This window comes from Homo sapiens, chromosome 11 (assembly GCF_000001405.40).
Source record: "Homo sapiens chromosome 11, GRCh38.p14 Primary Assembly".
In the NCBI taxonomy this organism is placed as follows: Eukaryota; Metazoa; Chordata; class Mammalia; order Primates; family Hominidae; genus Homo; species Homo sapiens.
The window spans coordinates 8,088,201-8,113,123 of NC_000011.10; the positions used below are offsets into that span (position 1 = coordinate 8,088,201).

A 24,923-nucleotide genomic window follows, 5' to 3' on the forward strand; every position below is an offset into this window, starting at 1 on the left:
TGCTAGTTAAAAAACATGCATAGTCCTCATAGATCGTGGCCAAGGTGGTGGGCAGTCTGTGTTATGGGGGCTTCCTTCTACCCTCTGACTGGCTCCCTTGGAGGTGCAAGTAGTTGAAGGCTCATGTAGGTGGTCAATGATTGTTCCAGCTAGAAAGGGCTAGCCATCAGGAGGAGGTGAAAGTGGCTTCACTTTGTCCTCAGGGTGATGTGACCTCCTGTTTCCCCTTTGCACGCACACTGCGCTCACCTTCACACGAGCACACCCACTTCTTCACAGGTGTCTGCATGCACATGTGCACACACATGAGATATTCACACACTTCCTTATGGCCTCACACAAACCTAATGCACTCGGGCACGCCTGTGCAGGAACCTGGACACAGTCTGGTTCAGGGGCAGCTTCAGAATAACTGGGCCAGGGCCGCCTGGGGCTTCCCCAGAGCTCAGATCCTCAGGCTCCAACCTCACCTCATGCAGCTGTCCACACCTTGGCCTTTATAGCATTTGGGCCTAGGTCTCATGCATGTGTCTCTGGCTAGCAAAAAGCTAAGTGATTTGAGTTACCAGTTCCCTACTTGTGCCCTGCCTTCCTCAGAGGCATGGCCAGTGCGGGTGAGATGAGGCTCCCTGTCCCAAGACTGGTGGGGCTCAAGAATTTGATGTCCCCAGGGCTGCCTGTGCCATGTCTGCAGCCCGGGAAGGACCTGGTAGCTGGTTGCTGGGCTGTACATTGATGTGTTGTGTCCACCCTGCAGACACCTCTGTGTGGCCCAAACCCTGTAGGCTGAGGGACTGGTTGGTCTCTTAGCTTCATTCTCTCAAATGAGAAGGAGGACCCTCTGCCCTCTTTAAGTGGGGAAGGGGAGTAGACAAAGTCAGGACTCTACTCTGCCCACCTGGAAAGCTAGGAGTTTGCTTTCAACGGATGGGGAAAGGGTCTGCCCCAGAGGACGCAGCCTCCTCTAGAATGGTGGGAAGGAAGGAAAAGGCTGGGGCTGGTGAGATCCCAGTAGGGAGCTGGAGGGAGCAGCCCCCTGGGTTTGTTTGAAGCCTGGCCTCGGGCCTGGCTTGTTGCTGGGATGCCTCTGGATAGTTCTCTTGGATCTCAGTCAGGCCCGGCCCTGCTCAGGGATCTGAGGGGAGGGTCTCATCCGGTATTTACTGGGGAGTCCCTGGGGAAACAGGGGTCCTAGCAGGCTTCCAAAGTGGCAGCTCGAGCCCTTTTGGTTCAAGCTGGTTTCAAGATGGCAGGCTCCACCCTTCCTCCTTCTACCATGTGGGCTCACTGAGTCCCAGCAGCCGTGATGGGATGGGTTTAACGGGCCCAGATATGCTGGGGGTGGGCTCTGGGCTGTATATCCTGGCACCTCACGGGCAAGCCCTGAAAACCCCTCTTTCGCTCTGCAGTGTCTTAGATGATGAGGGCAGAAACCTGAGGCAGCAGAAGCTTGATCGGCAGGTGAGTAGGCCTGGGGCCGGGTAGAAGGGAAGAGTCTGGGCTGGGATCTCTGAGGGCAGAGGGGCAGGGCTGTCCATCTTCCCTGGATGATCCCGTCTGATTGGGGGATGGGATTCCCATGTGGAAGAAGAGAGGTGCACTCTCTCCCAGCTCAGCACTAACCCTGCCGCGGCACATGGGCTCCTGCCTTCAGGCAGCTGGGTGACTGCAGTTGGAGGGCTGGCTGTGCTGTGATCCTGCCAGGGCAGCCACCTGGGCCCTGTTTTGCCTCCCTTTCCTGGACCCCAAGTGTTGGGGTGCCAAGGACATGGGGCCTTGGCCCAAGGTGGGCTGTGGACCCCCCGATAACTGGGAGCCCGCCCTTCCTGGTGGAGGCAGTGGGTCAGCCAACCTCTGTGCCTCCATAGCGGGCCCTGCTGGAGCAGAAGCAGAAGAAGAAGCGCCAGGAGCCCCTGATGGTGCAGGCCAATGCAGATGGGCGGCCCCGGAGCCGGCGGGCCCGGCAGTCAGAGGAACAAGCCCCCCTGGTGGAGTCCTACCTCAGCAGCAGTGGCAGCACCAGCTACCAAGGTATACCTTGCCTGCTGCCCCACATCCCGTCACTGCTTCGGGGAGCCCGTCACTTCCTGCCCACCTAGGCAGGTGCGGACTGGTCCTGACGGGGGATGCCCAGGCTGTGTATGGCTTCCAGCCCAGGCAGACAGCTGAGTAGGGAGGGCAGAGGGAAGGTGGACCTGTAGCCTTGGGCGCCTGTGTATGCTCCAGCTGACACCTCCTGAATCAGGCACTGAGGCCAGAAGCCTAAACCTTTTATGAGGCCAGGAGTTCAGAAGTCCAAGTTTTGATCTGGAGCATTTCACTGAGTGCAGGAGGTAGCTTCTAAGAGTAGATGACCTGCTCCCCACCAGTATTCTACATTCTGAGAGGAATCCGTCTCACTGTCCTGCCCCATATCAACCAGTGTCTCAGTACAAACACCTTTTTCCTTCCCTCTCTGCACCGTGTCTGCCTGGCTTCTGACTTGCAGATCCCTCTCTCTGGCTCACAACTCCTTAAGAGCTGTAGTGACCTGGAGCCTGCAGCTCCCATCCTTAAATGTTCCAGGTCTCGGCAGAGCCCAGTTGGGAGAAATTCTCTGCAGCTCATCCTGGAGAGAGCACATCTCCAGAGATGGCTGCAGCACATCTCTGTTCTCAGGACCCTCCTTCCTGCTTGGGTTAGGTGAAGAGTAGGCCAGGCCAGACTGAGGGGTTGGGGGTCTCTGAGCTTGAAAGGAGGACTCAGACTCAGTCTCCACTGCCCCCTGCTGGTGCTAGTAATCCAGGCTGCTACTTCATCAAATAGTAATTCTAAAAAGGTTGCAGGCATCTGGCTTTTGCGGTTAGGAAGAACCTTAGCAGTCGTGGTGCTCCCCTCCTTCTGTGGCTTCGTTATGACCTGGAGCCTCCAGATACATCGAACTACTGGTAGTTGCCTCACCTCAGGGCTGAGCTTCTTCATCTAACTGCTGGCCCATACCCTGCCTCGCAGTATTTTAGGTTCTTCTCTGGGTTCCACTGACCCATAGCTCCCTGAGCCCTTTGTCTGCACATTGGAGGGCAGCAGGTGGGTCTCACTTGCCTGGTGCCCAGTTTGTGGCTGGGCACACCATACAGGCTCGGTCCCCTGTGTGCATGTGTACCCTCCGAGGAAGCCTACTCCGTTTCTTCTAACAAAGGCTGGCTGTACATCTGCCAGTGGCTAAGTACAGTGCTAGAGGCTTTACCTGCATTATCTTGTTTCATCCTCACAGGAACTCATTATCCTCACATCATCAGTAAGGATGTGGGCTCTGAGGGGCTCAGTGACCTGCTCATAGTACTCTGCTAGTGAGCAGCAGGGCTAGAATTTGAACCCAGACCTAACAGACGCCAAATGGTCTCTCCTCCATATTATGTTGCCTCCCTGATGAAAAGCTCCTTCATGCTAATTCCCCTGTGTGTGTGTCAGTTCAGCACCCTGGCCATACCTGGTATGCCTGTACTCTACTTGAGAGGCCTTCAGAAAAGGGGACCAGGGACCTCAGCCCAGCTGTCTCACAGAGGCAGCCCCAGCTGCTCCTCACAGAGCTGGCCCCAGCCCCACCCTTTGCTGGCAGCCAGCTCCTCCACTTCCTTTGTGAGTGCCATCCCAAGGGTGGTAGTGGTACCCTGCCAGGAAGGTGGCCAATGTTCTGGGTCATATGGCGTGTGGCCTGTGGCTGTGTGGCATCACAGCCCCAGCTCTGCCAAGCCTGGCACCTGGGCGAGTGAGGCTGCATACAGAATAGGGGCCTGCACCCAGGATTGTGGGCCCTGCCAATTTGTGCCAGAGGCCAACATCGTGAGAGGTCATTGACGTGCAGTCGTTTTGGAAGGTATTTCTTGGCAGCTGTGTTCCAGATGATGTCAGGACATCAGAAAGACTGTGGTACAACTAGCGCCTCTGGCGTAAGTGCAGGACTGAAGTCAAAAGACAGTTTCTGTGCTAGGTGGCTCACACCTGTAATCCCAACACTTTGGGAGGCCAAGGCAGGAGGATTGCTTGAGGGCGGAAGTTCAGGACTAGCCTGGGTAACATAGTGAGACCCCATCTTTAAAAAAAGTGAGCAGGGTGTGGTGACACCTGCCTGTAGTCCCAGCTACGTAGGAGGATCACTTGAGCCCAGGAGTTCAAGACTGCAGTGAGCTATGATCGTGCCACTGCAATCCAGCAAGAAAAAAAAAAGAAAAAGATAGTTTCTGGTCGTGCCACTACCAGTTAGTTACCTGCTCGCTTGTGACTGGGGCAAGCCATTTACCCTCTCTGGATCTGTTTCCTCCATTATAAAATGGGGAAACTTCTCTGTCTTAGGGCTTTGGAACTCGAAGGAGCCACGGTGTGTTCCAAGGTCCAAAATCAGGGAATTGCTATTCCCTGACATTCCAGAGTGGGCTGGGCCTCCACGACCTTTTTCACAGAGGACATTTGAACATGTGACATTTGATTTCTGGGAGGTGCCTACTGCTTCTCTAGGGGCCCAGTCTTTGTCCAGGTTCAAATGGTGGACAAAGCTCTGGGGAGGCTGCTGCACACACGCGTGGCCTACCCAGGAACTGGTGTTTCCAGGCCACTCCCACCCCGCCTACAGCATTAGTTGCCTCCCTGTCTGCCCTCTACTGGCTACAGGCGTTAAATTCAGGGGATCATTCCAAGAGGAAAAGGAGGGAGTCTGATACACATCAGACCTCACAGTTTATCCTGGTTTTTGACCTGCTGGCTATACTCATTCATGTTACACATTCATTCAGTTCTTAAATATTTATTGAGGTTTGTGTCAGGCTCTGGATTAGAGGCTGTAGGTCCCAAGTGAGCACAAATGGGTGTGGTCCCTGCTTTCACGGACCTTACAGTCTAGGTGGAGAGACAATGTTAAACAGATGGTCACGGGGTTGCTTTGTGGAAGGAAGCCAAATTCTGTGAGTAGATGACAACACCTGCTCTGACGAGGGAGGCAGGCACAGCGTCCCTCGGGAGGTGACATCCAAGCTGAAATCTGCAGGATGAGTGGGAGTTGATCACTGAGGGGGGCGAGGGGGAGGGCAGTGCAGGCAGCAGGAGCAAGGGCCCTGTGGCAAGAGGGAGTGCAGTGCATGTGAGGCAACAGACCAGCCTGGTGTGGCTGCAACTCTTGGTGCCCCAGAGGTGGGGAGTATGTGTTTATTTTAGACCTAGGGGAAGGGAGAGAATGTTGGTCTTCAGCTTAAGAGCAATCAGAAACCATTCAAGGATTTTGAGCAGATTGGGGTTCTGCAGTATGGAGAATTTGGAGGCCACCAGCTGGGACCCTTCTGAGACCTCACTGTTGGTGCCTGTAGCTTCTTGTGTCCCAGAGTTGTTGTTCTGAGCACTCCTACACCCCAGCCTCCCATGGGCTCATCCCCGCAGAGCCCCCTCGTAGGCTCCCTGGAGTGCTTGCCCTGGTTGTGGTCTCTTCCAGAAGATGCAGCCTTTGTTCTTTCTTCCCCGTCTTCAATGGCCATATCCTCTCAGACATTCTCCCTGCCCCTGTTCAGGCTCAGTATGGTTTGGTGGCCCAGAACTTTTGAGTGCGCACTTTGTTGGCTGATCACAGGTTTTGGTCTGGCTGTTGACTTGATTACACTGGGCTGGGGGTGCCGCCTCCTTCCAGCTGGGCCTGCCCTGGAATCTTTGCCTAGTAGAGATGAGTGGGCCTGATCCTGTGGGCTGTAGAAGTGGTACAGGGGCCCTGGTGGGACTCGGGGTGCAGTCAAAAATGCTGTGCTGGGGACTGTGTTCAGGTGGGAGCTCTGGTCTCACCCACTGCCTGTTTCTCTCTCTCCATCTGGGGATGTTTCCTGAGCAGTTCAAGAGGCCGACTCACTCGCCAGTGTGCAGCTGGGAGCCACGCGCCCAACAGCACCAGCTTCAGCCAAGAGAACCAAGGCGGCAGCTACAGCAGGGGGCCAGGGTGGCGCCGCTAGGAAGGAGAAGAAGGGAAAGCACAAAGGTCAGCTCACATTCTCTACAGCCCTCCCCAGCAGGCCTGGCCTCCACTGTAGGGCTGGGGAAGGTTTGTCCTCCTGACTTGGAGGGGAGGGATAGGATGAACAGCCTCAGGGAAGACACAGACTGCCACTCTGGGCACCCCCTCAGGTGGCTCACAGGCCTCATCTAGCTTGGGAGGTGCCTGGGCTGCCTCTGGGTGTGGGCATGCCTACCACACTGCCAGGAAGTGAAGTCCTGCTCAGCTGTGGCCCAGAACCACCGTCCCCCACCTCAGCTACCTTGGCCTGAGCACCCTTTATCATGACCCCTCAAGGAGGATCTCACCCAGCCTGGACTAGGACACTCACTGCACTGGGGGCTGACTGCTTCCCAGGCAGCTTGCCCCATCCTTATGCAGCCCTCGCCGTCAGCTCTTCGTATAATGTGGACTTCCCTTGACTCCATATTCTAGTCCAGGTTCCACCCTCTGGACCACAGACCAGCCTGTTCCCTCTGCTCCTCTTTCTCCAGAAAAGACCCCTAAAGATTAAGGACAGTGATTGGCGGTACCTGCCCCAGGTCCTGTCTCTTGGCTACACACCCCGTTTCCTCAACTTTTGTTCACGGACAGTGGTTTCCAGGCCACTGCGTCACGGTTGGACAGTGATGTGTCACAGGCCATGGGCTTCTGGAGCTGGCCGAGCACTCTGGGCATAGCTCAGTAGGCGGGCAGGGTGGCTGCCACCTGTGTGGGTCAGGCCTTGCTTCTGTTGCTGAAGCTCTGTGGTAACGGGCAGGAAAGCTGACGTAGGATGGGAGATGCTCCATTTGGGAAGGCGAGTGTATGCCAATTGCAATCTTTCTCAAGGGGCCCACGTTTTTAATGATGTATGTGAGTTACTGCACGTGTGTATGTTGTGTCTGTTTGTGGAAGAAAACACCAGCATTGATGGCTTGTAGCTGGTCGTGTCCATGAATGATTGCTGGCCTTGCCTATGGTCTGGATCAGTCCTTGTTCTCCATCTTGTTTTTCCACTGTGCAGTTGGTTTTGTAGATGGCTGCCGTCTGCTTTAAGGACGTGAGGTGTTGTAAACCAACCCTCGGCAATTAATTTGGGGGAAGAGCAGAAGAAATGAAGCCCACATCCCTTACTAGCTTACCAGTTGTTAACAGGCTGGTGCAATCATTAGTTTTATAAAAATCACTTTTGCAAATAAAGTTTTGCAGAGGGTTTCCCCACTCTTCCCTCATCCCCTTCATGGACGTCTGAGAATCCAGGCCCTCCTCTCCTCCTCCTGGATGTAACTCAGGCGTGTCCGTGGCCTGCAGGCACCAGCGGGCCAGCAGCACTGGCAGAAGACAAGTCTGAGGCCCAAGGCCCAGTGCAGATTCTGACTGTGGGCCAGTCAGACCACGCCCAGGACGCAGGGGAGACGGCAGCTGGTGGGGGCGAACGGCCCAGCGGGCAGGATCTCCGTGCCACGATGCAGAGGAAGGGTGAGCCCCATGGGGACCCAGTGATACCCCCAAAACTCAGTCCCAGGTTCTCAGATGCACCTTTCTCTGGGAGCATGGCCTTCCTGTGTCCAAACCCCTCCCTGGCAATGGTGGGTGAGGGTGGGGCACACTTCGGAGACAAATGAGAAACTCTTAGGCAGGGCCCCTGCTAAGGCCCCAGGGAGGCCCTGATTTGGGGGCAGATTTCCTTTTCCTTTTGCTCCTTAGAAAAAGCTCCTTTTGCAAGAAGTTTCCCATATGTTTGCTGAGCTACTGGGAGCAGGGCCAGGATACCAAGAGACGGGGTAGATCCTCCGTGGAAACCTGCTGTTCAGTTTTCCCACCACAAGCCCTGCCCTAGGGAGCCCCTGGTGCAGGGTGGCAGAGGGAAGAAGCCTGGCAGTGCCACACATTGTGAGGAATCTAATCAAGGATGGCTTCCTGTACAAAGGACTTTGAGACAACTTGAGGATGGGGATGGCATTCCCAGGGAATGGCAGGCGGGAGGACAGCTGAGATAGAAGCTCAGGGCAAAGATGAGGAGTCAGTGGGTCCCCTCCACATTGGGCTGAGGAAGGAGCTGAGGCCTGTGCCCTGGCAGATTCCGTGGTCTATGCCAGCCAAGGCCTCTAATAGGCCTGAGGTCAGAAATGGAGATTCCCAGTTCAAGGTGAGCTCAGTGCAGGCCTTGATACACAAGAGACAGTGGTAGGGTGGCTGCTAGGTAGTGGGGTAATGTAGGGACTGAGCTGAAACTGGGTGGTGGGGATATATCCTGAGGATTGTGGCCAGCCCCGGCTCATGTGTGTACCTGAGAGAATATCCTTTTATATCTGGACATGTGTGGGAATATATGTGTGAATGGGAGTCTATATGTGTAGATATGGCTAAGAGTGTGTGCATAAGTTTGTGGGGGTACAGGTGAGTCAGTGTCTGAACATGAGTATGTGACCATGTGTATTTCAGGGGCAGCGTAGACTTCTCCTCCTTCATCCCTTCTTCTTCTCTCCTTGGCCCAGGCATCTCCAGCAGCATGAGCTTTGACGAGGATGAGGAGGATGAGGAGGAGAATAGCTCCAGCTCCTCCCAGCTAAATAGTAACACCCGCCCCAGCTCTGCTACTAGCAGGAAGTCCGTCAGGGTGAGTGAGTGAGTCTGCATCCACAGCAGTTTTTGGAGGACTGCTCATCCGTTAGAGGTGGACTGCATGTGAAGAGATGGACTCGTATGCCTTTAGGAGCTTCTCTGCTGGCCTCTTATGTCCCTCTACCTTGCCTCCTAACCTCTTCAGCTAGGCCAGCAGGGTGATGTATGGGGGGAGATGCAGTTGGACAGGATGACCTCTGAGGACCTCCCGTATCTCCCATCTCCACCTCTAGGAACTGTTGAGGGCAGGGCTGGGAAGATAGCTTCTGACCCCAGGCCCAGGCTGGCCAGGCCCCAATCCCAGGATCCTTCCCTCTCTCCCACCGCCACGTTAGGAGGCAGATTTGGATCCCAGACCACCAATTTGGGCTGCTTAGGGTCCTTGGGGCTCAGGCACCTATTCTGCATCCCCATAGGAGGCAGCCTCAGCCCCTAGCCCAACAGCTCCAGAGCAACCAGTGGACGTTGAGGTCCAGGATCTTGAGGAGTTTGCACTGAGGCCGGCCCCCCAGGGTATCACCATCAAATGCCGCATCACTCGGGACAAGAAAGGGATGGACCGGGGCATGTACCCCACCTACTTTCTGCACCTGGACCGTGAGGATGGGAAGAAGGTAAGGTTGGTCTGGGCATGTTATCATCTAGGCTTTACAGCCCTTTGAAATCCTAGGGGCTGAAATGTGACTGGAAGTCTCATATCTACCACTGACCTCTCAGTTCCTCAAAGAAACTGCCTTCGTGTCTGGTCTGTGCACATCTTTGTGTTTTCCAGTGCATTTGTGTGTGTGCACATATGTGCGTTTGGGAGCTGACGCAACGGAGAGAGTCTGTGTGAGTGGCTCTCATGACTGTGTGCAGACCAGAGGCTGAGTCTGGAATATGACCTCATTCCACTCCCCAAGGTGTTCCTCCTGGCGGGAAGGAAGAGAAAGAAGAGTAAAACTTCCAATTACCTCATCTCTGTGGACCCAACAGACTTGTCTCGAGGAGGGGACAGCTATATCGGGAAACTGCGGTACTAGCATTCCCCCAGGAAGCAGGCGGGAGTGGGAGGGAGGGGCAGGGGCAAGCTGTCTGTAGAGGGCCTGAATCTTCCTGAAGGAGATCTAGGCCAGGGATGGATACTCTCCCAGGATCCTCTCTGATAATCACATCCAACTGGAGGCCTATGTCTATGCCAGCCTAGAGCCAGACTTGGAGATGGGAATCACACACCCGACCCCAAGCTGTTCCCAGGAGGTGGGTGCAGGCCCACCAAGAGTGATGGATCCAACCCCAGGGTGTCACTGATAACGCAGGCCACCATGGAAGAGTTGCCTTGGCTCCATGGTCAATGCCAAGGGACAGGGCTGAGAGTGAGCTCTTGAGGGAAGAGACACACAGCAATCTTGGGGGTGGGGGGCAGTGGTGAAGGGGCAGGAAGGCTCTGAGCCTAGGCCTCCAGGTGGGGGCAGTGGGGAGGTAGGGTTTGCTGAGGAACTGAGTACCAGATTTGGGGAGCATAAATAAAGATGAGAGGTCAGGAGCTAAAGCTGGAGATGGGGCTGGACTGAGACTTAGGCTGGCTGCGACAGAGGAGATCTCATCCTCTCTCCACGGGTGCTAAGCCTCTTCCACTGTCTTATCAGATGCCATTCTGTTTGCTCACCTCCCATGAGGAGAACTCCCATGTTCCCCCAGATAAATCTTCTGAAGAATCCTGATTGACCTCCCTGAATTGCTCTCACTGAACTGAAATGCACTTTGAGTCAACTCAGAGCAAGTCCAGGCCTTCTGCCCACGAAGTGTCTTCAAAGATGTGGATTCAGTGAGCAGTATGCCTCCCTGGGCCTGCTCCTGTTCCAGCCCAGAATGTTTTGCAGGCTCCTCATAGGACAGACGATGAGCTGTTCCCTGCTCTGGGGCAGAGGGTGCATGACTCTATACTGATTGTGCCTTTATTTCAGGTCCAACTTGATGGGCACCAAGTTCACTGTTTATGACAATGGAGTCAACCCTCAGAAGGCCTCATCCTCCACTTTGGAAAGTGGAACCTTACGTCAGGAGCTGGCAGCTGTGTGCTACGTGAGTCCTAGGTTCGGGGGTCTCTGATTTCCAAGGTAGATATGAAATCCAGGACTTGATGCCTGATCTAGGGGCTATCCCATCCATCTTAGTGGGTAGACAAGGCTGTGTGGAGAGGGGCTGTCCTCTGTGGAGTGTTCCTGGCCTAGGACAGGGGCTCTGGCTCTCTCCTCCTGACTTCAGAGCTCACACCACAGCCGGCCATCTGCTTGGGGAGCTCAGAAAACCAGGCCTGGCTCTCTGCAGTCCAGGCCAGGAGTCTCTTAGACAGAAGGAGACGGTCGCCCTGGGTTCTTGTCTGTGCATTTCCCAGATCATCCCTCTGGCATGCCAGGTTCTACATGGATTACACGGCACTTTGTCATCTCACTGAACGTTCAACCTAAGAGGTAGATCCTATTTTCTTTATAGATGAGGAAACTGAAGCTCAGCTGCAGATGTCACACAGCTCAAAAACGACCAAACTGGAATATAAATATAGGGGATTACTCTACCCCTTTGAACCTTTTTCTTCATTTTTAAAATCAGGGGTGGGTATCTCATCAACCTGGGCATGGGCACTTCTTGGAGGCCATCAGTAAGTAATCCACAGCTACTTTGTATGATCCTGTGGTGCCACCTGCTGACCAGTTTTGGGGAGGCAGCCTGAGTCTTCAAGTTCTTACTGAGCTCCAACTAAGCATATTGTTTGAGGCACTAAGGATATAGTAATGAACAGACATAAATGTATACCTTTATGGGACTTAAAGCCCTAGCAGGGCAGACAAGCTATGAAACAGATCTATCAGTGAAGTAAGTATGTTCTTTATAAACACTAAGAAGAAAAAGTAGGGGAGGGGAGATAAGAAATGTCAAGGTATGTGTGAGAATTTCAGAATGGCAGGGAGGGCGTCACTGAGGTAGCTCTTGAGTAAAGACCAGAAGGAAGTGAAAAACAGCAGTGTACGTGTCTAGGGGACACAGTGAGGACAAAAGTCCTGAATGCCTGGCATGAAGAAGGAATGGAGTGGATACCAGGCAGTAAATGGTGAGGAGAGGAAGGTCATGGGGCCACGTGCAGGTGAAGTCACATCTCCAGCTTTAACTTGGAGTGAGCTGGAGAGCCACTGGAGAGTTCTGAGCAGAGGAGAAAGATCATCTGACTTAATGTGCCTGAGCACTGGCTGCTGTGTTGAGAACAGATGGTGGGAAGGAGGAATAGGAGGGCCAACAACAGAAACCAGGAGTCCAGGCAAAGGCTGTTAGAATGATCTTGGTGAGAGAAGCTAGTGGTGAAAAGTGGTGGAAGTCTGGGTATAATTGGAAGGTGGAGCTGACAGAAACTGCTGATGGATTAGACGTAGGATGTAGAAGAGAGGACTCGAGTGTGACCAAGTAGTTTGCCGGAGCGAGTGGAAGAACAGCATTGCCGTGAGCAGAAGCAAGGATGACGCATAAGAGGAGCTAGTTCTGGCAGGGTAGAGACCCAGGGGCTCAGTTCTGGCCGTGTTAGGTTTAGAGGGATGTGTGTTAGACTTCGGAGTGGAGATGGTGGGAACTAGCTCTTCCTCTTTATTCCCGTCCCCCCCACCTTCTCCAGTAGGTAAATAGACGCCTCAGGTGGCCAGTGTTGCGTTCTCTTTCCCAGGAGACAAACGTCTTAGGCTTCAAGGGGCCTCGGAAGATGAGCGTGATTGTCCCAGGCATGAACATGGTTCATGAGAGAGTCTCTATCCGCCCCCGCAACGTGAGTGTCTACCCCTTCCTCCCCTCTTTCCCCATCATCCTAGTCTCTGCATGAGCTTCTAAGGGCAGAACTCCAGCTGATGTGTGTATGTGGAGGGGTACCATGTGAGAAAGCCCTGGAGGTCTAGGGAAATCCAAGGACCCCCATTCCCGGGATAGATCCCTTTCTGGGGTGGTCATGGTGCCAAAGGCCTGGGCCTGGCTCAGGTGAGGCTGCCCTCCCAGGAGCATGAGACACTGCTAGCACGCTGGCAGAATAAGAACACGGAGAGTATCATCGAGCTGCAAAACAAGACACCTGTCTGGAATGATGACACACAGTCCTATGTACTCAACTTCCATGGGCGCGTCACACAGGCCTCCGTGAAGAACTTCCAGATCATCCATGGCAATGACCGTGAGTGTTTCTGTCCCTACTCATTATGGTCCGTAGGATACCCAAGGCCCTTAGCGTAGGGTTCAGCCCACCTAGCCCTGCCTACACTGGCTAGAGTTTAAGAATGTGAGCTATACAGCTAAGGTTAGATGTATGGAACTTTCTAACCCTAATGACTGGGAGGTCCTGGAAGAACCTTCTTTGCAGCCCTGGTCCTAGATTCTGTGTATTCAACGGAGTCTCAGGCACGGGAACACCCTTTAAAAGGACTTTTCCTCTTTTCTGTCCCCTGGTGTTCACATGCATCTTACTTTGTCCTTTGCCATCTGCCACCTCTTTCCTGCCACTTCTCCCAATTGGCCTTTGTTTTACTTCCCTTTGTGATTCCCCTGGCATCTCTGCTTCTCACTTGTTCTTCCCTCATGTGGTTTGGGTGTCTGTCTATCCTTCCCTGGCTCTACCATTCCTGTCCTGTCCTTTTCTCTGTCTGTGCCTGTGCTTGGCCCCAGCGGACTACATCGTGATGCAGTTTGGCCGGGTAGCAGAGGATGTGTTCACCATGGATTACAACTACCCGCTGTGTGCACTGCAGGCCTTTGCCATTGCCCTGTCCAGCTTCGACAGCAAGCTGGCGTGCGAGTAGAGGCCTCTTCGTGCCCTTTGGGGTTGCCCAGCCTGGAGCGGAGCTTGCCTGCCTGCCTGTGGAGACAGCCCTGCCTATCCTCTGTATATAGGCCTTCCGCCAGATGAAGCTTTGGCCCTCAGTGGGCTCCCTGGCCCAGCCAGCCAGGAACTGGCTCCTTTGCCTCTGCTACTGAGGCAGGGGAGTAGTGGAGAGCGGGTGGGTGGGTGTGAAGGGATGAGAATAATTCTTTCCATGCCACGAGATCAACACACACTCCCACCCTTGGGGTAGTAGTGTGTTGTAGTCGTACTTACCAAGCTGAGCAACCTCTTCAGCTGGGAAGGCCGCAAGAGGCATAGAGGGAGAGGAAGCACACTGCAGGGCTGCTGTGGCCCAGTCGTCCGCTCAGCCAAGGAGTCAGATGGCAATGGGTACTCCAGCAGGTAGGGGCACAGTGAATGTGTGTATGTATGAAGGCCACATCAACTTTATGTAGCAAAGGGCTTGGTGGCCAAGCCTGGCCCTTAAACAACTGCAGAAAGCCCTTCAACTTCAGAAGGCCTCACTCAAGCCTGAGAGAAGTTGGGAGGGTGGTGGGGACAGGTAAGTGGCAGGACCCTGTCAGGATTGCAGGTGCCTGGCTTGCTGTGGCTATGGGAATCAGCTGGTGGCTAGGTTTCTAGCGCATTTGATTTCTCCAGGTTTGCTGTGTCTCACAGAGGCAGTAGGAACCCAGCTCTCAGGGCTGTCTTGGTGGATGGGCCCTGCAAGACACAGGCTCAGCATGCAGAAGTGCATGAACAGGGTCCCTGGATCAGGGTTGTTCTGGGAGTCCTGTCAGCTTCCCCAGGAGCTCTCTGCTGAGCAGCCCAGCACAACCCCCAGGAAACACAAATGGGGTCCAGGTCACCAGCCTGACTGCACACAGCTAGGCATGCCTGGGAATCCTGCTGCCAGAGAACCATTCCCAAGCCATGGCATGCTCCTTGAAGAATCTCTCCTCTCTCTCTCTCTCTGGAAAGACCCAACTTTCTCACTGCTGTCAGCCAAGTCATGGTTGGTAACCATGTAGGTTCTTGGGAGGGAATGGGACAGGGTGAATAAAGCAGGGAATATTTTAGAACCACAAGAGATCAGCAGTGGCAGGACCCTTAGGAATCTAGTACAACCTTGTTGCTTTAGGTGAGTCACACTCAGAAAATGGGGCTTGCCCTGGGTCACCTAGCTGGTTAATGGCAGCATTCAGAACTTCAAGTTCTCTTGATTTCTTTGTTCCCACTGTCCCCCAAGAAACTAGTATCTCTGGCCTCCTGGGGGCCCATTCTGCATGCCCTCCCCACTTCCCCCGATTCAGAGACTTAGAAGCATCAGAGTTGATAAATTAGATTGAAACCATTCCAGTAGGAAATCAGGCAGTTCCCTGTTGAAAGTTGTCTGGCTTTTTGCACGTGAGTATGATCCAGGATTGGCCTGTGTCTGGCCCCTCCGCGAGGGCTACTCAGCAGTAAGCAGGCCTTAGTACGGCTGCTGCACACTTCTCGGTCTAGGTGGGAGAGAGTGCATAAAGGTTCTGGGGCTGGGCCTGAGCCTAACTCCCTCCACTACCGCTATTTCTCCTTGGATGGCACCATCCACCCTGCAGGCTTGGGAACTGTAAGCTCAAGCTTTTGCTCATTTGTCATTTACCCTGGTGGAGGCTTCTTGCCCAGATAGAGATCTGAAATTGGTGGGAAGCAAGCAGGGGTCGTACCTTGCTTTAGAGTAGATGTTTGGAAAAGCTAAGTAGAAATTTTTTAAAATAGAAGTTGTATTTTAAACGTGTTAGGCTTTATAGGTGAAGGACTTGTTTTGACTTAAGTAGAAGTAATATGCTCTCATTTCTTTGTAATCTAGATTTTCCTATGTTGAATGCTTAAAGCAAGGCATACCTGTCCTAGCAGGATCTGCCCACACCTCGGCCGTACATCTCTGTGAGAGACCCCCTCCAACGATTAGCTTTTGCAACATGGTCCAGTTTCTAGAGGGCACTAGAACTTTGTGCCAGCGCTGGCGAGATACCATGGTGCCATCCTCCTTTCTATAGTTCCAGTTTAGCCCTTCCCTGCCTTTAAGGAGAAGAGATCTTCATGGTGACATTTGAGATGATGGAAACTAGATCGTCTCTAATGTTAGGTCAAGCTATTTCTCTGGATCTATGATTTTAAGATAGAACAGGCTGGTTCTGAGTTCTGGTGAGACGGAGACCCCGGTGGCAGTGGAAAAATCAGAAGCACAAAGGAAAACTCTTGGCCTCTGCTTTCTCCTGTAGCACAAAGAGGGAGTTGGCTGGATCTTTTGGTGGAGTCAGGAAAGACAGGCTGAGCTTTCTAGCCTAAGTGTGGAGAAGGATAGCCTCAGCCACAAAACTCTGTCAGGCATTGAATGACAAGCATCAGTAGCTGAGTGCACTCCTGGTGATCCTGGTTTTCCTTGACCACTGGCCCTGGGGCCATGGGTGCATGGACTCGTAAAGCTGCTAGGGCCCCTAGAAACCACCTGGGTTCAGCCTCTCCCACAATAAGAGTTCTTGCCCTTCATACCCTCTACCTGGATGGATGGTCTTTGGGCAGGGAATTAATGACAGAATGAGCAGTCCCTAATGGTATTGGGCAGTTGGGAGTGAGTTTAGGCAGCTTCTCTGTAACCGCTTCTGGGGCCACACCCCAAAACTCTACACCCTCTGCCCCAGAACAATTCTGCAGAGTGGTGAAGTTCACTTCCCCAACTCTTCTCCAAGTCTAGCTTTCCTTTCCTTCTGGCTCCAAGGTGCTCTGTGTCCGTCTGTGTATGTGTGTGTCTGTGCGTCTGTGTGTTTATTTGGGGAAAAGGGCAATCAGCAATCAACTGAGGTTTCTTAATTGTGATTATATTCCTGAGAATGAATGAGTAGGAAAGGAATAAGGATGTTGTTATGATCGCCTGTGGATTTTGTCCATTCATCTCATGCTCTCTGAACAGAAGGTATACCTGGGAAGATACCAGCTTTTTCTCTCAGGGTTCTGAGTCAGAGGACACCATCCAAGAATGTTGTTAGCTTTTCAGTTCCCGCTCTGCATTGCCTGAAAAAACTGGTATGTTGCACGTATGCTTTTGGTTGAAATTGAACATACTCTAGTGAATGTGCCTTAAAAATCAAGACACTAGTTCAGAGGAAGCACATAATGTCCAGATCTATGGCGAACACAGGTGTTGGAAGCCAGGACTGTGATAATCAGAAGCTATAAGAGAACTTTCGGAGCCTGCCTCCTTCAGTGACAAGTAGGGCACAAAATTCTAGAAGCAGAAGGTTGTTTTTTTTTTTTTTTCTCCATTCTGAAAATAGCAGGACATTTACCTCTTAAATAAACTTAGCATTTAGAGGTAATTCTAAATTTAACAAGTGACAGGGTTGGTTTCAAAGAAAAAGGTCCATGCTTTGCTTACAATGGAGTCTGCAGTGAGGGGAGATGCTGGGATAGCCATTTCCATGGCTCTGTTATGCAAGCACAAATTTCATCTCCTAGATGGACTTCCTGGTTTTCTCTTACTGCAGTAACACTGGCCTTCCCTTCTCTAATTCCTTACCCCAGCTGCGGCATCCCTGTGTTAACTCAGGATGCCAAGTGGCCCTCAGATTACACTTCTCCAGATAGCTGAATGAGTCTGCTTTCACTGTGACTGGGACCTGAATGACCTGCAGTCAGGGCCCAGAGTTGGGACTCTATACTACCCTGGGCTCTGGTCTGTAGGTTTGTAGTAGCCACCGGTAATAAGCCAAGGGCTAGGCTCTTGTTTGAGTTTATGGCCACCTGGAATTTTCAGTCATCTCATGATACAGGCGGGAGGGGCAGAACAGATAGATTACGACAGGTTTGGTTTTTAAATTTTCCAACCAAGTGGAAAGGCAAGTTGGTCTTATAGAAAGCACTACTGCACTTAGTAGCTATGTGATTTTGAGCAAACCACATAATCTCTCTAGGTCCATTTTCCTAACCACAAGATAAAGATGTTACATTGTCAAAGCTTGCCGTAGGATTTGGGGTGAATGAAAATTATTCCTTGCTTTCATCACTACCTTTATAGCTCTCATCACTACCTTTATAGCTCATCACTGTGCCTTTTTTTCTTTCCTAAGAAAGACATCACATCCCTCTCCTCTCCTCCTCTGTGCTCCTGTCCCTCCCTCCCCCTAGCAAGGTCCAGGCAAAGCTGGAGATGAGGCTGAGATCCAGAGTTTCCTAGAACGCAACTTAGGATGGCTAGGAAAGGGAAGCCTGACTGCTCGGTCAGGAGGGTGCAGTATCTCTTGCTGGGAACACAGCCAGTTTTCACAATGCCTAGACTGTGTATGTCTATTTGCACAAGATTGTCTTTTCCTATTTTGGAGTGGTCAGACATTTTATTTTTGTTCAAGATTATCTGGCGTTTTAGACAAATTTGCAAAACTGTGCTTTTATTGACTTTTTGAATAAACTTTGGTATTCTGGAGCAAATGTATTTATTTATTGGTATGTGCAATGACAAACTTGGTATTTTCCCATGTTGACATTATGTATGTTGTAGAATTTAGTGTTTGTCTAAGTACACACATATATCAACAAATTAAACTTGAATCGTTTCAACACTTCTGTGTACTTTTTTCATAAAGGGGAAAAAAGCCCTGTTTACTTCCTAATTTTTTTCTATACCTTTCATTCATTGTTTCCTAGGAGCCTCAGGTGGGTAAGTAGGTGATAATAGCAAAGAGATCATAACCTCACCAATGACATGTGGGTCAACACTGTCCTTCCTCTGGCCTGTGCCTTTCAAGTTTAAGGTTCATCAGAACCACACCCAGAGGCTGGAAAAATGGTGAAGTCAGAAGGTACTTAAGTTAGAGCAGTTCTCTTCAGGGTCTGCTGTGCCGCCTGAAGGGGCTGGTGGTTCCTCAGTATCCCCTGTGGGCCTGGCCTTAGGAAGAGAACAGGGCTGTAGAGATGAAAAAGGTATAAAAGACCCAACCACTTGATGTCTCAGGGCTTGCTTGGACCCTAACCCATTTAAACAGGACCTCGAGATGCTTAGGAATCTTTTTTTGTTGCCGGGCAGCTGTGGCAGATTTGAAGGCAAAAGGAAGGGAGGCTACAGTTGTAGCTAGAAGCAGACATGAAAGCTAATGGTCTGACCCAGACAAGAGGTTATAACTAAAGGCACCCGGAGACTGCAGAAGGGCCCTGGGCCACTCCTGGCAATCAGGGTAGCCTTAGAGGGTGTCAGGTGTGACATCTCAGCAACACTGGACTTGACAGAGTGGTGACAGGGATCATGCTGTCACCAAGCACCTACCACATGCTTTGCCCTGGCACAGACACTTTATAAACAGCATCTTATTTAATCCAAACAGCCCTGTAAATAGAGCATTATTCCCAATTCATGGGGAAACTGGTTCTCTGAGAGGTTAAGGAATGACCTAAGAGGAGAAATTTGGGCTATTTTCTTTGTATAAAAAAAGGGAAATAAAGGAAAAGGAAGCACATTTTAGAAAAGTCAATGGTCAAGGCAAAGTCATAAATGTGTTCATGTTTTTTCTCAATATTGCTGAATAGCTAAAGCACTAAATTTTTCTTTGGAATACAAATAGTCCAGATTGAAGAGAACTTTGAGAGTGTGGTAATAATTCGGGTTTGTTTATTCCCCCAGATCTAGAGTTCTGATGTGACCAAGAGCATTTCCTACCTGAACCATGGCCTATCTCCTGTGGCCTCTGCCTCTGGTGGGAAATAGCGCATACAGGATATTCTAAAAAGGAAAGAGGGTTTTGTTTGTTTAGTCATCAGGTTCAAAAATCTTAAATGGCTATAGACAGGGGTGACCCTACGTCCAGGACAGTCTTAGTTTATGCCTATCACCTTGGCATAATTATATTAAAGCTCCCTTTTTCCAAAGTGTTTGAATTTGGACCTTAAGTTATTTGATCACCCAAGCCATATAAGGTGCATTGTATGGTTCTCAAAGGCCGTTGATTCTACAGGCCAAATACACCTCCACTCCTCATCACGACTCCCTGGGCCCAGCTTCTGGAGCTAGTCATGGAGATAATGGTTTCTTTGTGCTCCTGTTGTGACCAGGAAAGGGGATCTCCTGGCTGCACCACCCACCTGATTTACCAAGAGTGATCCCAGATTATGCAGTTGTTTTGTGAGCTAACTGTCCATAAAGGTATGACTTGTGTACTCTGCCACAGTGCCAAAAGGCCAGGGGACTGATCAAGTTCCCAGCACCCTCGTGAGAAATGAAGACCGCAAGAAAAGAGACAGCAGCCCTGGCAACAAAAACCGGACCCATGATTTTGTCATCCTGGGTTGTATATACACATATAACTGTCATCCCCGAAGGATAAAATAATTCTGGAAAATCCAAAAAGAATTTTCTAAATCCTAAATAACTGAAAGGTACATCCAAATGTCTGATATATAAATACACAAATATATTCCTTATATATAAACCAACCAAGAGCTAGGGCAGGAAGAACCACCATAAGGGCTTAGTACTTCTGGCAGGAATTTCCATAAGCCAATTTTCCCCAAAGACCAACAACACTTTACATAACAGCCTCACCAAAATACTTGAACATCCATGTATTTTCACACCCTACTGCTTTTTTCAACAACTCTTTCTGCCAAGAGTGTCCTCTCTTCTTTGCCTACCTGAAGAAGTTCTTTGCATGCCTCAAGGCCCACCTCCCAAGAAACTGTGAAGTTTCTTGGCAATACTTTAGCAAAAACAATTTATCTTTCCTGTAGTTTTGGGCCCATGTCTGAATTACAGCATAGCCCTTATAATAAAAACATAATTACCACTTAATGAGTGGTTATCATGTATGAGCTAGAACCAATGCTGTTTTACACACACTGATGATTTCATTTAACCAGGACCTTTAATACCCCTCCCTTTACTACCCTGAAGCCAAAGCTCAGACCAGTTAAGGAGCTGACCCAAGATTCCACAGCTAGAAAATGCAGGGACAGATTATGGCTCATGTTTCTCTGCCTGCAGGATTCACGATCCTGAGCCCTCTTACAGGGTCATAGTTCATTTTATCTGTCAGGCTCTCTCTCGTCACACTGAGTTTTCTGAGGGTAGAGATTGAGCCTCTGTTCCTAGCACCTGGCACTGAGCAATTGACTGCTAAATGAATGAATGAGCTAGAAGAGAACAGCAGTATTTATCTCTAATAAGGGAATCCTATCCTAAGGCCAAAAGTAAACCTGAGCCAGGAACCCAGGGCTCTCCTCATGAATCAACCCCTCACAGTGAACGAAGGGAAATAACACAGAAAACAATTTATCTAAACAGTAAAGAGCACCTGTTATTTTTCACCTTTCGTGTACAATACATCTAGATTGCATTCAGTATATTTTAAACTGCATTCTTCACAATGTGAATCAAATGTTCTACACAGAGATAGATGCAATATGCTTTCTATAAACTCAGTCTTGAATGACTTTCTGTAACTCAATTAACAATAAATGCCTAGTAGTAGCTGACAGATTATCTTAATATGATCCCATACCTTCTAACAGCAGTCTGTATGCTGATGTATAATTTTAAACTGTTTTCCTGGCACCTTATTCATGCCAAGCATAATGTAACTCTAAAAGCCATATCTACCTTTACATAATGTCTTAATTTTCCAGTCTTCTACATTTCATGACTGGGAATGTCTTTGGGAATGTGCCCTCTTCGAACTCTCAGGTCTTACATGTAAACTGAATTCACACATACCTCATGATGTAATTCATGGGTGCTATCTTGTCTCAAGAAGACACACGTCAGATGCAGTAAGGAGAAAAGGCCTTTAGTTTGGTCAAAATCCTCCCAGTCTTAATCTAGTTGCTGCTACTTTCCCCAGCTCTCTCAAAAAGACCCAAATATCCGAGTATGGAACACATGGTCTCTACCCCTGGGCACTGCTATATTGGTTCTCTGCAACAGACATACTCCAACTTCCCTCTTGAGTTGGCACTTTGTATACAAGATCAGTCCTCATTTGTTTCAATTTATGGTTCTGAGAAGAAATTTCTCAAAGGGTGCAACATTCAGAAACAGCTTTAGGTAAGGACTGTCCATAAGCACACAGATTCTCTCCCCTATTGCTGGCTTCCTGGCCTTCTGAGCTCCTCATGGCAGGAGCAGAATTCACAATCTTGAGCCCTCTTATAGGGTTGCAGCCTCCTCATGGCAGGACCATCCCTGGGCAGGGCTTCCTGCAGCTTCAATGGCCTCAAGTCTTGACTCTGCAGGGCAGGGTCTAAAGTCTCTATCTAAAGCTTCCTCTGTCCACTGAAAACCAGGAGTGCAAAGGTACTTCTGGGCTTGGCAGTTCTGTTAAGCAGAACAGGGGTAAAGGAAGCTAGATATCCAGGTAGTATCAGAGTAAAACAGTCCCCAAACAAGCCTCTGGGCTCATTCTCAGATCAGTGGGAGTCTTCCCTACTCTGGAGAAAAGAGGATGTCTGAGGCAGCATCAATGTTCCTAGGAAGACCCTCGCTGCGAGGAAGAGGCTTCAGCTTAGACAGCAGAGTCTTACCCTCCTCTGGGCCCATTAGCCCCACAAACAAAATGTTCTCTTCTCACCAGGGGACTACTAACCTGCTCAAGGCCCAAAGAATAAGGGATCTTGGAGTCTGAAATCTTCATTCTTGCAACCTTAAGTCCTCATCATCTGTAAGCTGATGTTCGTTCACAGGTGAACTATCTGTTACACCTACCAGGAAGAGTCAGACCTTTGCCCCTGAGTGGTCCCATCTGTAATTACAATAGACCAAACATAATTACTTAATGGATCAACTTCTCTGATAGAGGAAAGGCAGGAAGAGAAAGAGCGAAGCTGTCCTGTGTTCACACTAATGTCCGTGTTTTACAAGGTGACAGGTGTGTGAGCACCAGGAAGGATACATGATATCCATGATAGTGGCCTGATAGCTATGACACTTGAACACAGTGAAGAAAGTGCAGGGCACAGGGCCAAGAAGGAAATCTGAGGAGAGAGAGGTCACCTTGGGACTTGAGTAATGGATACTTCAGACTGGCTGTTTTCACTCTAAACCCTGGGGGTTACGCTTCCTCAGCATGCTGCCTGTATATGCTTTATCGGTGCTGATGCCCAACCCTTCATCTTTAAAGTCTTGGGACCACTCTTCTTTGGTGGTTTCCTCTTGCTCAGGGTAGCTATCTGCACTGAATCCAGCATTCTCTGCCAAGACAGCAGGATCCTCGTCTTCATGAAAACAGCAGGAACATGTTTCTGGCTTTGGATCACACGAGGTAACAGAATTATCTTCCTGGGCTCTGGGGTCAGTGGGCAGACTTTCCCAACCCAAATGATCTGATTCTTCCTCTTCTATCATTCCCATTCTTTCAGCTATTTCTTCAGCAGAAAGTTCTTTTGGGTCAGGGTAATCCACCAAGATTGTTTCTTGCCTACGCTTGATACAGTCTGAAAGGTCATAAATTGGGTAAGTCTCTTCAGGGTAACCTAGAGAGAAAAGTAGCACAAAGTATTACAAAGAATGTCTCCTCAAAAAAAAAAAAAATAGTGTCAGGTTCAAAGAGGATTCTCAGGCAGCAGCCATCCTATCCTAACAAATCCATTCAAGACATCTCTAAGATTCCAATAGTTCTAAAGTTTTACTTGAGCAAATTCTTAGCAATCTGGCTATCCCAGTGCTCTTTGAAATACAAACTAATTCAGATGAAAATCCCTTCTTATGTGTAGGGTGCTTGGGGCAGAGTTAAGTCTTATACCATGTGTTTTTGCAGTACTGATGAAGATTAAACAAACAACATGAGCCTTTAGTTAAAACAAAAAAAGCATCAAAACCAGACAGAGACAGCACAGCTCCAGGCTAATGTTTATAATTTCTATTTGGAACAATTTCCAAATCTTCCTTGGTGGAGTGGGGAGAGGAAAGGAATGCTAAGCTCTTTGAAAAATACACCATGAAGCTTTCTATTTATCCAAACAATTGAAATGGCTTGCAAGTGTCAAAAATAGAGAGCACTTTAGCAAGGCATGCCCAAGATCCCGAAAGGACAAGCACTGCATTTTCGGAAGACAGAATTCCTGTTGTTGGCTTCTTCATCTTCACAAAATGGAACAAAAGAAAACAACAAACTGGCAAACAAAATGAGTAACACTGGTACTGAATCCCAGCTAGGATAATGAGAAAAGAGAAACTGTTGCCAAATTACCAAACTAAATGAAATAAATCTGTGTCCGCCAAGCAAGCCTGAGCAGCAGATGGGCCGTGCTGGAGCTCACACACCAGTACTGGCACCAGCGGCCGTAATCACGATACAGTGCAGAAAGCTGGAGGATTCAGAACCCATTTGCCCATTATGATAATTGGCAAATTCAACCCTAACGTAAACCATTTTTTGCCTACAACTGTGACAAATAAGTCTTTTTTGGTGCAATGTAGGGTGTGTGTGGAGACATTTCTACATTTACTGCTTTTTCTGACTATAAAAATCATACAGACTCATTTGTAGAAAATTTGAAAAAAATACAGGCTAGTTTAAAAAAGAAAACACAAATCACCCATAATATCTTCACTCATAATAATTTGCTTTTTTCTGGTCTTTTTTTAACCGTATATACACATATATTTTCTTTTCTTTTCTTTTCTTTTCTTTTTTTTTTTTTGAGACGGAGTCTCGCTCTGTCGCCTGCCCAGGCTGGAGTGCAGTGGTGCAATCTCGGTTCACTGCAACCTCTGCCTCCCCGATTCAAGTGATTCTCCTGCCTCAGCCTCCTGAGTAGCTGGGATTACAGGTGCATGCCACCACACCTAGCTAATTTTTTGTATTTTTAGCAGAGACGGGGTTTCACTATGTTGGCCAGGCTGGTCTCAAACTCCTGACCTCAGGTGATCCACCCACCTCGGTCTTCCAAATTGTTGGGATTACAGGCATGAGCCACCGCGCCCGGCCAACATGTATTTTCTTATTCCCCTTTTTTAAAAAGAAGGATCATATTTGTGTATAAAAGGTTATATCCTGATGTTTTTCAATTCAACATTATATCATGAGCATCTCTCCATGTCATTAGGCATTTGAAAGTTGGTTGCAAAATATCTCATCATATAGCTACATAACTGACATGATTTACTAGTCCTCTTTTCTAGGGCATTTAGATTCTTTCCAATTTTCCCCTATTATAAGTAGTATACAAGTTAAGATTTCTTAATATAAATCTATGTCCACTTCCCTAGTTCTTTAAGATAGACTTCTATAAATATGAAAACTAGACCAAAGGGAATGGACATTATAAAAGCCTTTTTTATACTGTGCCAAATTACTTTCCAGAAGAGTGGTATAAATTTTCAATCCTACCAGTGATATAAAGACTGTCCATCTTATGACACCCTCACCAGCACTCACAGTAGTATGTTAAGAATTTTGCCAATGCAGTCTTTATTCCAAGGCTTAACTTACTGCGGATGGAATGCTAGGTAAAGTG

General features: G+C 49.6%; 2 protein-coding genes across 43 annotated transcripts in view, besides 1 other annotated feature; one reads left to right on the plus strand and one right to left on the minus strand.

The window, feature by feature from the left end:
- TUB (TUB bipartite transcription factor) overlaps positions 1–18,043 on the plus strand; it is an 86,999-nt gene extending 68,956 nt beyond the window's left edge. For 5 of the 10 annotated variants that reach the window (NM_001440538.1, NM_003320.5, XM_047427517.1 and 2 more), the window contains 11 exons: positions 1,410–1,461; positions 1,869–2,031; positions 5,846–5,989; positions 7,298–7,465; positions 8,485–8,606; positions 9,028–9,225; positions 9,514–9,626; positions 10,558–10,675; positions 12,303–12,401; positions 12,626–12,797; positions 13,286–18,043. In NM_001440538.1, the coding sequence (NP_001427467.1) occupies positions 1,410–1,461; positions 1,869–2,031; positions 5,846–5,989; positions 7,298–7,465; positions 8,485–8,606; positions 9,028–9,225; positions 9,514–9,626; positions 10,558–10,675; positions 12,303–12,401; positions 12,626–12,797; positions 13,286–13,419 (1,483 nt within the window). In that variant the 3' untranslated portion in view covers positions 13,420–18,043. The remainder of the gene's footprint in view (positions 1–1,409; positions 1,462–1,868; positions 2,032–5,845; positions 5,990–7,297; positions 7,466–8,484; positions 8,607–9,027; positions 9,226–9,513; positions 9,627–10,557; positions 10,676–12,302; positions 12,402–12,625; positions 12,798–13,285) is intronic. The other 5 variants (NM_001440539.1, XM_047427514.1, NM_001440540.1 and 2 more) reach the window with 3 other exon arrangements.
- Positions 1,894–2,394: an enhancer, noted in NCBI's record as "H3K4me1 hESC enhancer chr11:8111641-8112141 (GRCh37/hg19 assembly coordinates)". NCBI's record gives its function as "activates a minimal SCP1, AML or CMV promoter by ChIP-STARR-seq in primed H9 embryonic stem cells {active_cell/tissue: H9 hESC(primed)}" and the evidence as "EXISTENCE:reporter gene assay evidence [ECO:0000049][PMID:30033119]".
- RIC3 (RIC3 acetylcholine receptor chaperone) overlaps positions 4,765–24,923 on the minus strand; it is a 76,061-nt gene continuing 55,902 nt past the window's right edge. For 11 of the 33 annotated variants that reach the window (NR_144497.2, NR_144484.2, NM_001135109.4 and 8 more), the window contains one exon: positions 17,856–22,937. Coding sequence is in view for 12 of the 33 variants with exons in the window: in NM_001135109.4 (NP_001128581.1) it covers positions 22,498–22,937 (440 nt within the window). In the remaining 21 variants the exon portion in view is untranslated. Of the gene's footprint in view, positions 11,140–17,855; positions 22,938–24,923 lie in introns of those variants that run through there. The other 22 variants (XR_002957195.2, XR_002957192.2, XR_930901.4 and 19 more) reach the window with 9 other exon arrangements.